The sequence below is a fragment of the Homo sapiens genome, chromosome 8 (assembly GCF_000001405.40).
Source record: "Homo sapiens chromosome 8, GRCh38.p14 Primary Assembly".
Taxonomy (NCBI): domain Eukaryota; kingdom Metazoa; phylum Chordata; class Mammalia; order Primates; family Hominidae; genus Homo; species Homo sapiens.
The window spans coordinates 93,903,541-93,916,648 of NC_000008.11; the positions used below are offsets into that span (position 1 = coordinate 93,903,541).

The following is a 13,108-nucleotide window of genomic DNA, read 5'->3' on the forward strand; positions in this document are numbered from 1 at the left end:
CCCACTCCCCCAGACACATACAAGAAAAGCATCGAAAACCAGTTTTAAAAAGCAAGCATAGGCTAGGTGTGGTGGCTCACGCCTGTAATCCCAGCACTTTGGGAGGCCAAGGCGGGTCTTTGAAATCCAAAAAGTTAGGAGCCGTGTTATAAACGATTACATTTAAGCTGGAGTTGGAAGAGACACACTCCTATATAAAGGAGTTCCTGCAATTTGCTTGTCAGTGGCTTCACCACATCTGAGTTAAGGGGAAATTAATTTGCAAGAAATAAAAAAAAAAAAAAAGCCTGCTTTTTTTTTTTTGAGACAGAGTTTCACTCTTGTTACCCAGGCTGGATTGCAATGGCATGATCTTGGCTCACTGCACCTTCCGTCTCCTTGGTTAGAGCGATTCTCCTCCCTCAGCCTCCTGAGTAGCTGGGATTATACGCACCCACCACCATGCCTGGCTAATTGTTTTGTATTTTTAGTAGAGACAGGGTTTCATCATGTTGGCCAGGCTGGTCTTGAACTCCTGTCCTCAAGTGATCCGCCTACCTTGGCCTCCCAAAGTGCTGGGATTATAAGCGTGAGGCACCATGCCCGGCCAAATTTTTAAAGGCATAAAGACTATGTCTTACGCTTTTCTCCATTTGCAGAACACAGCAAAAACCCTAGAACACAAACATTCAAAGAGTGTTTATCCAATTAGTTTGCATATAACTAAGTCAAATGTAAAGAGAAGTTTCTCTCCCTAGACAAAACTGATCACCTTTTTTGCAAACTGGCATACCACAACAGGCCCTGAAGGGAAGCCCCAAGATGTAAAGAAAGTTATAAGAACATTAAAATACCACAGGCACATAGTAATGGCTCAAGAACTGAAACTGAAATTGAAATTGAGCTAATTAGTAAACACCATTGTTCAGAACAGTCTTGGCTAAGTAATAGGGGTTGTGTTTAAACCTTAAGGGTGACATCCATTTATACATACTTCAAGTGGAAATGGAATTTCCAGATGCAGAATAGAATAAGTGCCATCAAAAGGTAGGGTAATTGCCAGCTGCAACTGAGATCCTCAGTGTTCATTTATCCAGGTCATTTATTCGTGAGTCATGGATTTGTGGAATGAAAACTGAACACTGAGCCAGCAGTTCCCTGAAACTAGGAAAACAATAAGTTCTTATTTCCCTGACAAAATCTGGCTACAGTTCAGCAATGCAGTAAAAAATCCTTATGGATTTTCTCATTACATTGACAATTTCCCCTCATGGGGGGTGGAATCACCAAAAACTTGTATCCTCTATATGCATACATTTCCCATGAACATAAAAAGTACAAGGAATAAAATTATAATCAATCATTTCATACACTACTAAATTCAGAGAATGTAAGCATACATAGTGTTATGTTATTTTTTATTTTTTATTTTTTTTAAGAGATAGAGTCTTGCTCTGTCACCCAGGCTGGAGTACAGTGGTATGATCATAGCTCATTGAAGTTTCAGACTCCTGGACTCAAGGCATCTCCCTACCTTGGCCCCCCAAAGTGCTGGGATTACAGGCATGAACCACTGTACCTGGTCCATTAGCTATTATTTTAACTCCTTAGTGGTATCCAAACATTCAGTTGTTTAGTGTTGACTGGAGGTTCAAATTTGGACTTACTTTTAGTAGTGATTAAACGGAGATGTGAGGCTACACAAAACTTTATGGATGAAACTGTGGCAGCACTGGCAATTGTAACCAGGGTCAGAGGAACAAAACTAGAAACCCAGAACATCAGCACTTGCTGGTGCTTATTTCCCTACTTTTCAAGATGAAAGGAATGGGAACAGCTCTGAGAACCAAACTTGAGGCTCTTCTAATCCAACACTTCTGCAAAAGCAGCATCATGTAGGTTCCGCTATGTCATGTACTCACTGTGGTTGGCAGCCTCCAAGATGGCCTCCAGTGATTTCTGCTGGAATTCATACCCCTGTGGAATGCTTTCTCAAATTTTACCAGGGTACAGAAGTAATTGTATGTCACTTCCAAGATTGTTGTAAAAGATGCTGTAGCTTCCGTCTTTGTCTCTCTCTCTCATTGTCTGTCTCTCTGATTACTCACTCTGGGGAAAGCCAGCTGCCATGTTGTGAGCAGCCCTATAGAAAGGCCCATGTGGCAAGAAATGAAAATGTTCAGCCATGTGAGTGAGCTGGAAGCATATTCTTCAGCCTCAGCCAAGCCTTCAGGTGACTCTGCAGCCCTGGCTGATGGCTTGACTGCAAACTCATGAGACCCTGAGCTAGAACCACCCAGGGAAGCTGCTCCCAGATTCTTGACCCTCAGAAACAGAGTGAGATCAGAAATATTTGTTGTTTCAAGCTAATTTTGGTGGTGATTTGTTATCCAGCAATAGATAATACACCCGCTGTAATCTTGGGCAAGTTAGATAAATTAAGCCCCTGTTCCTCATCTATAAAGCAAGGACTAATATAAATAAAAAATACATTTCTATTACTCTCCTTTATTCCAGAATGAATTTATGACTACTTTTAGGGATATATAAAATAAAAGACAGCGTAAGTTAAATGAGAAGTGAGAAGAGAGGCAGAAAAACAAGGGTGGGGACATGAAACAGAAACAGGAAATAGGTTTAAAAAACAATATATTGCACACATTCCATAACTGAGTCACAATTCTGGCTCTAAAACTTTGAATAATTCTTTTTACCTCCTCCACCCCTTCAAACACACAGATATAGAATTATTTATTCAGTTCAGAGTCCAAGAATTTTTAAAAGAATCCAATCACTTCTGAGACTTATAATTATCCTTAGTACTAAGATGGGTGGGAATTTCCCTTGGGAGCTGCCCTAAAGCAGACACTGTGTGGACTACTAGCTGATGCCTTCATGCTCATGGGTAACTGCACAAAATGGGATGATACATACAAAGTGTCTCATATCATGCAGGCTCATAATGGGCTCATACAAGGTGCTACTATAACTATTACTATTCGGTATCAGGTTTTGCCAGTGTAACAGCTCACCTCTTAAAAATGTTTGCCCTTCACAGGCTAATGCTCTTGACTTTTTTTTTTTGAGACAGAGTCTCGCTCTGTCACCCAGGCTGGAGTGCAGTGGCGTGATCTCAGCTCACTGCAAGCTCTGCCTCCCGGGTTCACGCCATTCTCCTGCCTCAGCCTCCCGAGTAGCTGGGATTACAGGCACCCACCACCACGCCTGGTTAATATTTTCGTATTTTTAGTAGAGACGGGGTTTCACCGTGTTAGCCAGGATGATCTTGATCTCCTGACCTTGTGATCTGCCCGCCTTGGCCTCCCAAAGTGCTGGGATTACAGGTGTGAGCCACTGCGCTCAGCAATACTCTTGACTTTCTATCCTCATACATATTCAAAACAGCCCACTTCAGCCATGAACTTAATAGAAACAGTTTGGGAAAAATCCTGGATATTTTGAATATTTTTCCATATTACTTCCATCTCAATAAGAAAGTTTGACATACATGTCCATCCTCATGGCCACCCATGCACAAAGCTTTGGGCCTCTTTGATACCTTCCCCCTTTTCACCCTTTCTCATTTACCTCGCCAACAAGTCCTGATTTTTTAGCAACATATCTTCCTATCTGTTCCGTCCTTTACATCCTTGCTGCCATCGTCTAGCTCTGCATTTTAACTCTTTACACCCATGTTTAGGCAGTCACTTCCAGTTATTGCCAATCAGCTATGATGCATATCATTGTCAGGGCAATTTTCTCTTCTTTGATCACAATTCAGTCAAGTGTCAATCTGCATCCCAACTGCAGAATGAGGAAGTCCAACATCCTTGAAATTAAAGACCTTCAAGAATCAAGACCCAGACTCTGCCCAACTCTTAATTCCCACTCTTCACCCAACATAGCTCCTTGACTCAGATTTGCTCTCCTCTTGGCCTTTCTGCACTGTGGTTCCCACCTAGAATGCGCCATCACCCTCACCCCCTTTCTGGATCTCAATTAAATTCACTACACCTAGCTCAGATCCCAGCTCAGAGAATTGAGAGTCCCAGAGTTGGAGGGACTCTGATGGTCACTCTCTCCAACTCTCGACCTCACCCATGCATCATCCATTTACCTAGCCAACATTTGTTAGCTACCTCCTAAGCCAAGTTAAAAACATATATGATAGATTCAGCCTAGGAAGAGGTCACATCTATATAGGGAGACTGGCCTGCAAATGATGATAATGTGAGTATAAAGTTCAAGACACAAACAAAGTGCTTTGAGAGCACATTCTTTGTCATTTGTTGTCTACATTCTATCGGCAGAATCACCCCCAATAATTCAACATAGGTTCTTTTCTATTTCCTTAAGTGTCAGCTGGTCTGAGAAATAAAGGGAAAGAGTACAAAAGAGAGAAATTTTAAAGCTGGGTGTCCAGGGGAGACATCACATGTCGGCAGGTTCCGTGATGCCCCCCAAGCCACAAAATCAGCAAGTTTTTATTAGTGATTTTCAAAGGGGAGGGAGTATATGGATAGGGTGTGGGTCACAGCGATCGCATGCTTCACAAGGCAATAAAATATCACAAGGCGAATGGAGGCAGGGGGAGATCACAGGACCAGGGTGAAATTAAAAATGCTAATGAAGTTTCATGTACCACTGGGCACGCGTTGTCATTGATAAATCTTATCAGGAGACAGGGTTTGAGAGCAGACAACCAGTCTGACCAAAATTTATTAGGCGGGAATTTCATCATCCTAATAGGCCTGGAAGTGCTACGGGAGACCGGGGCTTATTTCATCCCTTATCTGCAATCGTAAAGACAGACATTCCCAGAGCGGCCATTTTAGAGACCTACCCCTGAGAATGCATTCTCTTTCTCAGGGCCGTTGCTTGCTGAGAAAAACAATTCAGCGATATTTCTCCTATTTGCTTTTGAAAGAAGAGAAATATGGCTCTGTTCCGCCCGGCTCTCAGGCAGCCAGACCTAATGGTTATCTCCCTTGTTCCCTGAACATCACTGTTATCCTGTTCTTCTTTCAAGTTGCCCAGATTTCATATTGTTTAAACACACATGTTTTACGAACAATCTGTGCAGTTAATGCAATCATCACAGGGTCCTGAGGTGACATACATCCTCAGCTTACGATGACGGGATTAAGAGATTAAAGTAAAGACAGGCATAGGAAATCACAAGAATATTGATTAGGAAAGTGATAAATGTCCATGAAATCCTCACAATTTATGTTCAGAGATTGCAGTAAAGACAGGAGTAAGAAATTATAAAAGTATTAATTTGGGGAACTACTAAATGTCCACGAAATCTTCACAATTTATGTCCTTCTGCCACGGCTTCAGCCAGTCCCTCCGTTCGGGGTCCCTGACTTCCCACAACAACAGTCTATTTGAATACCTCCAGTAACAGGAAACTCATTGTCTCAAGGGGTAACTCATTCATTTTCAGAAAACTGTAACCACTTTAAAGTTATCGTATTGAGTTTAAATCTGACTTCCACACACTTAATTCTAACTTTTTCTTTTTTGTTTTCCTTTTTTTTTTTTGAGATGGAGTTTCGCTCTTGTTGCCCAGGCTGGAGTGCATCAGTGCGATCTCAGCTCACCGCAATCTCTGGTTCTCAGGTTCAAGCAATTCTCCTGCCTCAACCTCTCTAGTAGCTGGGATTACAGGCATGGGCCATCATGCCTGGCTAATTTTGTATTTTTATTAGAGACGGGGTTTCTCCATGTTGGTCAGGCTGGTCTCAAACTCCCGACCTCAGGTGATCCACCTGCCTTGGCCTCCCAAAGTGCTGGGATTATAGGCGTGAACCACCACGCCTTGCCGTTTTGTTGTTGTTGTTTTTTGAGAAAGAGTCTTACTCTTTTGCCCAGGCTACAGTGCAGTGGCCGATCTCAGCTCACTACAACCACTGCCTCTCAGGTTCAAGCGATTCTCATGCCTCAGCCTCCTAAGTAGCTGGGATTACAGGTACACACCACCACACCTGGCTAATTTTTGTATTTTTGGTAGAGATGGGGTTTTGCCATGTTGGCCAGGTTGGTCTCGAACTCATGACCTCAAGTGATCCATTTGCCTCAGCCTTCCAAAGTGCCGGGATTACAGGTGTTGAGCCACCGCACCTGGCCTAGTTTTTTCAAACTCTGGTGTTTTCAAAGACAAAGCTAGCTATCTTTTCATATGACTATCATTAAAGTATTTGAAGAGCATGCCATGAATATCTCTAAACTTCTCATATGTTCTGATTCTAAACTTTTTATCCTGCTGGTAGCCCTCCTCTTGCTACACTGTAGATTTTTTATGCCCTTCAAAGTTTGGTGGGGACTCAACAAGGCAGAATGGAGGGAGTCTATCACCTCCTTTGTTCCTAACTCAACCTAAAATCACATTTAGGTTTTGAAGAGGGAAGGGGGCATTCTCATTACGTTGCTGCTTTTAGACAATCAAAATTTCTAGTGACTCTTTTTTCCCTCTCTCACACAACTAAGTGATCTCTAAAATCCTGTAGCAAAAATTTGTTGTTGGTTTTTTTTTTCTTTTTGTTTTGGAGTGCACTGGCACAATCACAGCTCACTGTAGCCTCGAGCCCCTGAGCTCAAGTGATCCTTCCACCTCTGCCTCCCAAGTAACGGAGACTACAGATGTGTGCCACCTTGCCTGGCTAATTTTTTAAATTTTGTTGTAGAGACAAAGTCTCAGTATGTTGCGTAGGCTGGTCTTGAACTCCTAGGCTCAAGCAATCCTCCCACCTTGGCCTCTCAAAGTGCCGGGATTACAGGCATGAGCCACCAGGTCCAGCCTGTGACACAAATTTGAATGGCTCATATTGGAGCTTGTTGCTTGCTGCCTTGTACTGTTGGTTAATGTCTTTTGCATATATTTAAGCTCTCCACCTAAATATTAAGTTTCTTGAGGATAAAAATATTTATTATTCATTTTCCTTTAATAAATATATTAATAAATACATGAGTGTTAAGGGAGAAAAATGCCACAGTATACAGAATAATGCTCCCTCTCTCCCAAAAAAAGATGTCCACATCATAATCCCAGAACCTGTGAATATGCTATGTTACATGGCAAAGGAGAATTAAGGTTGCACATGGAATTAAGGTTGCTAGTTAGCTGATTTTAAAATAAAGAGATGATTCTCAATTATCATCGTGTACCCAATGTAATCATCAGGATCTTTTTAAAATGAAGACAGAGGAGGAAGTCAAAGTCAGAGAGTGGCTGGAAGGTGCTACTCTGCCAACATTGAAGATGGAGAAAGGAGTTATGAGCCAAAGAATGTGGGCAGCTTCTCAAAGCTGAGAAAGGAAAGAAAATGGATTCTCCCTTAGAGCCCCCAGAAGGAAGCACAGCCCTGCTGATGCCTTGATTTGAGCCCAGTGAGACCCATTTCAGACTTCTGACCTTCAGAACTGAAAGATAATATGTGTGTTATTTTAAGCAACTGAATTTGTGGTCATTTGTTACAGCAGCAATAGGAAATTCATTTTTAAGTACTAACATTTGGCGTTATTTGCCAGTTATCATTTGGCTAATTCCTAATCCTTACAACACATGTTAGATTTTTTAAAAAGTTGAAGTTATTGGGTAAATTTTGAAGGATCAACCCAGAAAATAAGAAGCAGAGGTAGGGTTTGAACTCAAGTGTCTCTGACTCCAACTCATACTCATTCCACAAAACCAGTATGCCTTAAAGAGGGATAAAATCAAAATGCAGATATTGCACCTGAGTATTTCTCTGAATGTTCTGATTAGAATCCCAGAGCCCATCGTTTCTGGCAGAAACTAGATGTATAATTCAATATCTATTGTTCCTCTTTAATTCATTGTTTTTTTTTTCTCTCCTTAAACTTTTCTCTCTCCAGTTGATACTGCTTAAACATAAAAGTAACATTTTGAACTGAATATTAACTTACTGCTTTTAACAAATCAAACTGTTCACTTCAAATCATATTATCAACTATAGTTATATTAGAATGTGAGTTGAATACAGTAGGTATTCACCTACAAATACAGTATCTGTTTTCTAAGGAAAATATGCTTTTATAAGGTATGATTGGTTCTCCTGATAAACTATATTCAAACCCTGCAGCTCTCTAACAAGAGTGGCTATTCAGTGGTGATACACTTAGCTGTGCAAACTTTACTGCTGGTTATAGACACAATAAGCATGGGTGTAAATTCTCCAGTTATAAGGATGCAGTTTTCCCTCAAACCCATAATGAAAACGTAAAACTTTCTTTAGTTTTCACAAAGCTAGAATTAATTAAATCCTAATCCTGACATAAGCCCTTTTGAAACCTAAGGAACATAATAAAAGGTGACATATTCATTTATTCATTCATGAAGTATTTTCATTCACCCGTTGAAACATGTCATTTTCTTTTCCTTCATTTAAAACAAGTCCATTTATTCATCATTGAGCTCCTATTACACGTAGTGATCACTATACTATAACATAGTGCCTTAGTGTCAAGCTCTGGAGTAGATGGCTCCACAACTTCTTACTTATGTGATCCTAGGGCAAATTACCCTCATTGAGATTCAGTTTCCTCTCCTGTGAAATGGATATAAGAAAAATGCCTGCCTCATAAGGAGTCAGTGCACTTAGAATAGAGAATGGTAGAAAGGAAGCATCTGCTACCTGTTAGTTTTCAGTATATGCCAGGCCATGGGTTTGTATTGGTGGGTAAAAAGACATGTTCCCTGTTCTTGAAAAACTTATACTCTAAGTAGTTCAGATACGCAAAGAATTATAGCTTTTAAAAAGTATGCAAATCAGCCACTACTATTTTTGAGTTCACAGCTTGGGGACTCCTACTGAAGTCTGTAGATTGGCAGGACCTGCTTCGGGGCAGCCATGACTGGCACCTATTGTAGGAAGTGCTCTAGACACACCCCAATGTCTCAGTTCCCCGGAAGCCTGTCCTCCACCTCATACCCTCTGTGCTTTGGGGAATCCACCTACAGAATTATACTGAATAAAAAATTAATCTTGCCAAATTGCCTGATGGCCAGATACTAACACCAACACCTACCTCCCCTTTCATCTCTCCCCTCTTGCCCATACATGTCACCTTTAGTATTTGAAGATAGCCTAACTAACAGGAATTTTTGAAGTATGTGCCAATCTCAGGTCCACAGGTATGCAATACTCTTGGTAAAGCACTTGAATTCTATCATTACGCAACCCCAGACACCTACTTTTTGTATTCTCTGTCATGTTCAATTAGTACACAGAAACTTACTGCCTGCCAGCCAAGAGCCTTTGGTCTCTCATTTTGTAAGAGAATAAAGCTTTTCCCCCCTTGAACATTCTATTGTCTCATGAATTCTGATGAGAATGGATTCCTTTCCAAATATAAAATCAGACAAATGTGAAAGCATCTAGAACAGTCTCTGGTCCAAAGGAGATGAACCACAGTACGTGTTGTTTCTTTTGTATAGATGATTCGTCAATCTCACTGCTAACTCCAAACAACTTAATTTCAAAGAAGGAACTCCCGACACTGACATGGTAATAAAACAGGTAGCCATTCTTTAGTTACTTGGCAATTTCTTGCTGATTTCCTAGCCAAGACCTGTAGGGAAACAGGTGCTAGAGGAGTATGGTAAACCAGCCTCTTTCCCCTGTGACTGCTGATTTTGGCAAAGGCCACAGTAAATCAGTAACCATCAGGGTGAGGGCATCTCAGACCCACATGCAGGTTTATTTTAAGCTTCTTGGCTGGCACCACTGAGACTGCTGGATCATCTCCATGTTGTCAAAGCTAACCTCCAATACCCCTAAGGGTCTTATCACCTGCCCCCAAGAACATCAGGCCAATCTGATCAAGCATTGCTCATTTTCAAATCCATCCTAGGGCAAATGGATGACTAAATGTTAAGGTTCATATTCAGGAAATGTCATTGCATTTTTGTTTATCACAGAAAGCATTTGTGTAAACAGGTGATTTTGCACATTGCTTTCTTAGTACCATACTATTTTTGAAGCCCCTTCCTCTCTCCTTCCCTACCTTCTCGACAACGTTCCTGGGTTGTTTCAGTGCTGCTTTCCAACACTTTCCAATGTTGAAGTATCAACAAGTGCTCTGGTGGCTAAAACAGTCTGGGGTCAACGCAGTAAACCCAAGGACCTGTTCTGGCCCTGGCCAGTTGGCCATGTGATAACAAACAGCACTTTTGAAGCAAGCCCAGTGGGTGGCTAAATGGAGCTCCATCTAGAAACAGGAACAAAGCCAGGCCAGAGGAGAATCAAGGTTGAGATACTAAAGAATCTCCTCCAGTTGTACCAGCAGTTGGTACCTCTGCAGAAGGGTAGTTTATTTATAATATACCTCTCACTGAACCATACAACTTTACAACCAGAGGACAAAACTTATACCTGTAAATGAGATTATTTCAAAGCTATCACTTTAGGAAGGCTTTATTCTGATTTCAAAAACACCTTGGCATTCAATACTTATGTCAAAATTCTTTTGACTATATTTAGTGGTGGCAAATACCAGTTTTTTTGAGAGTGGGTGTTATTTTTAGAAATATCCAGGTCATTCAGAACTAAGAAGAATAAGATGGGAATCAATACTATTCTGGTATAAAACCAAAGTGTTGGTTATAGTAAAACAAGTTGGAGTTTCCTGTGCAGATCTGAAAACAATTTGAAAAGGGAGTTTTAAAAGTGCTCTGAATAATGGCAATGTCAGTGTGGAATAAGGGTTGCTACTAAGGTAACAGCTTTGAAGAGGTCATTTGATATGGATGTTGGACTCTGTTTTTTTTTTGGAGATGGAGTCTCACTCTGTTGCCCAGGCTGGAGTGCAGTGCTGCAATCTCAGCTCACTGCAACCTCCACCTCCCAGATTCAAGCAATTCTCCTGCCTCAGCCTCCCAAGTAGCTGGGATTACAGATGCCTACCACCACACCCGGCTAATTTTTTGTATTTTTAGTAGAGATAGGGTTTCACCATGTTGGCCAGGCTGGTCTCAAACTCCTGTCCTCAAGCAATCCACCTGTCTTGGCCTCCCAAAGTGCTGGGATTACAGGTGTGAGCCACCGCACCTGGCCTGGATGTTGGATTCTTACTACTCTATTTCACAACCATTAAAAAAAAAAGCTTTTTGTTTTTTTTGAGACGGGAACTTGCTTACTCGCCTAGGCTGGAGTGCAGTGATGCATCACTGCTTACAGCAGCCTCAGCTTCCTGGGATCAGGCAAGCCTCCTGAGTAGCAGAGACTATAGGCAGGCGCCACCACACCCAGCTAATTGCTTTTTAGATTCTTTGTAGAGATGAGGTCTATGTTGCTCAGGCTGGTCTCTGGGCTCAAGCAATTCTTCCGCCCCGGCCTCCCAAAGTGCTGGGATTACAGGCAGGAGCCCACCAAGCCTGGCCAGGAAAAAGTTGATAAGACAACAGAGAAGTCTAGTATGTACTTCATTTCTGGGTCATAAAGCAGAAACTCTTAAAATTCCACTCACAGCTTCAGTTAAGTGGGTCTCTATGTCCACAAAGTAAGGGTTAAGAGGCAGAGATCCTCTATATAAATGAATTTAAACTGATATTCTAAGGTTCAAAGATTCTCCATTCTATTAATAACTTATTAGTACCTAACAATAGAATATAATGCACTTGGGGGCCTGGGTCTCCTACTTGCTAGGAGTTCTTAATCTAAAACACTGACCTGGACATGTCGATAATATCAAGAATAGCTAACACTTATATAACACTACATGCTATGTACTTTCTTAGCAAGCTATATATGTCAACTCTCTTAATACAGCCCTGCTATTACTTTTTACATTTTTATCTTATATGTGAGAGAATGAGGCATGCAGAGTTGCCCATGACCACACAGAAAGCTGCAGAGCTGGGAATGGAACCCAGCCAGCTTGGCTCCAGCTGCACTCTTAATCACTAGGCTACACCATCCTATGCATCTATGAAGAAGAAACCAGATACTTAAATTAAATGACAGGAAGAGTAGTGGAGAATATTTGCAATTTATGGGAAGCCCATTTGAGAAGCAAAAAGGAGAGGATGAAGGGAGGCAGATGGACCTGTAAAAACTGGGATGAAGGCCAGACAGACTAGCCACAAAAGTTCCATGGGTAACCTGGGGATGGGCAAAAACAGTCTCCTCTAGTTTATTTAGAGAACAGAGAATACAGCAACTTGAAAGATCCAGGAGTTATAAAGGACCAGTTTGGGTATATAACGTTTTTTATTACATAAAAAGAAATTCACTCCACATCATTTTGTGAACCTGACTGGCTAGTAAGAAGTTATGTGTAATAAATCAAAGTCAACTTATTGGTGAACACTAGGGAAGATAAGTGCAATGCTCTATCTGCCACTGCCAAGGAAGCTTTCAGAAGCCACTATCCCATAAAAGGGATGTATGGATGTAAGTCACTGAAGAGCCCTCGAAGATATCTTGTTTTACCACAGACAATACCAATGCCACCTTAAGTCTAATCTCATCTGAGGTGGAAACAATCTCATGGAACAGAAATGGGACTTAGAGCAGGGAATGACTTGGATGAAAGTTTTCTGACTCCAAGTCCAGTGTTCTCTCCTTGTAACCATTCAGGGCAACGGAAACAATACTGATTTCAAAACTCCTCAGAGAACGTGAGCACACATCTACGCTACAGAGATAATTCCCTCATCACAACTCCCTCTTGCTGCTGTCTACACCTGCTTCCTCTCCCTGGGGCGATAGAAAACATGATGGGCGTTAATGCTCCTAAAATCTGCAACGTATCAAACGAACGAAGCAACAGCTACTCTCGAGGTTCTTTGCTACGCCTTGTACCGCAGGCTGGGGTGAGCCGCAGGGAGTTGAGGTTCCCGTGAGGCTGGGAGCCGCTCCCGCAGCCTACCCTGGGAAGCCCGCACCCAACCGCGAGGCGCAGGGGAGGCTTGGCCGCTGGGCCGGCCACCCACACCACCGCATCCCCGCAGAGGTGCCAGAGATTCTAGGAAGCCTGCACGACAGGGGAGCAGCCCGTTCCTCGGGCCCCATGCACGCGAAGACATTGGAGCCGGCCCAGGCGCCTCCCCTCTCCCGACCCCGCAGCCTGCTCAGCCAACACCGCCGAGCTCCACAGACCACCG

At 42.1% G+C, this 13,108-nt stretch overlaps 1 long non-coding RNA gene and 1 other non-coding gene across 2 annotated transcripts; both read right to left on the reverse strand.

The window, feature by feature from the left end:
* MIR378D2HG (MIR378D2 host gene) lies at window positions 12,194-13,104 on the reverse strand. Its single transcript, NR_170280.1, has one exon. It is a non-coding gene; the product is annotated as an MIR378D2 host gene (long non-coding RNA).
* Window positions 12,482-12,579, reverse strand: MIR378D2 (microRNA 378d-2). The gene has a single exon (NR_039602.1). It is a non-coding gene; the product is annotated as a microRNA 378d-2 (primary transcript).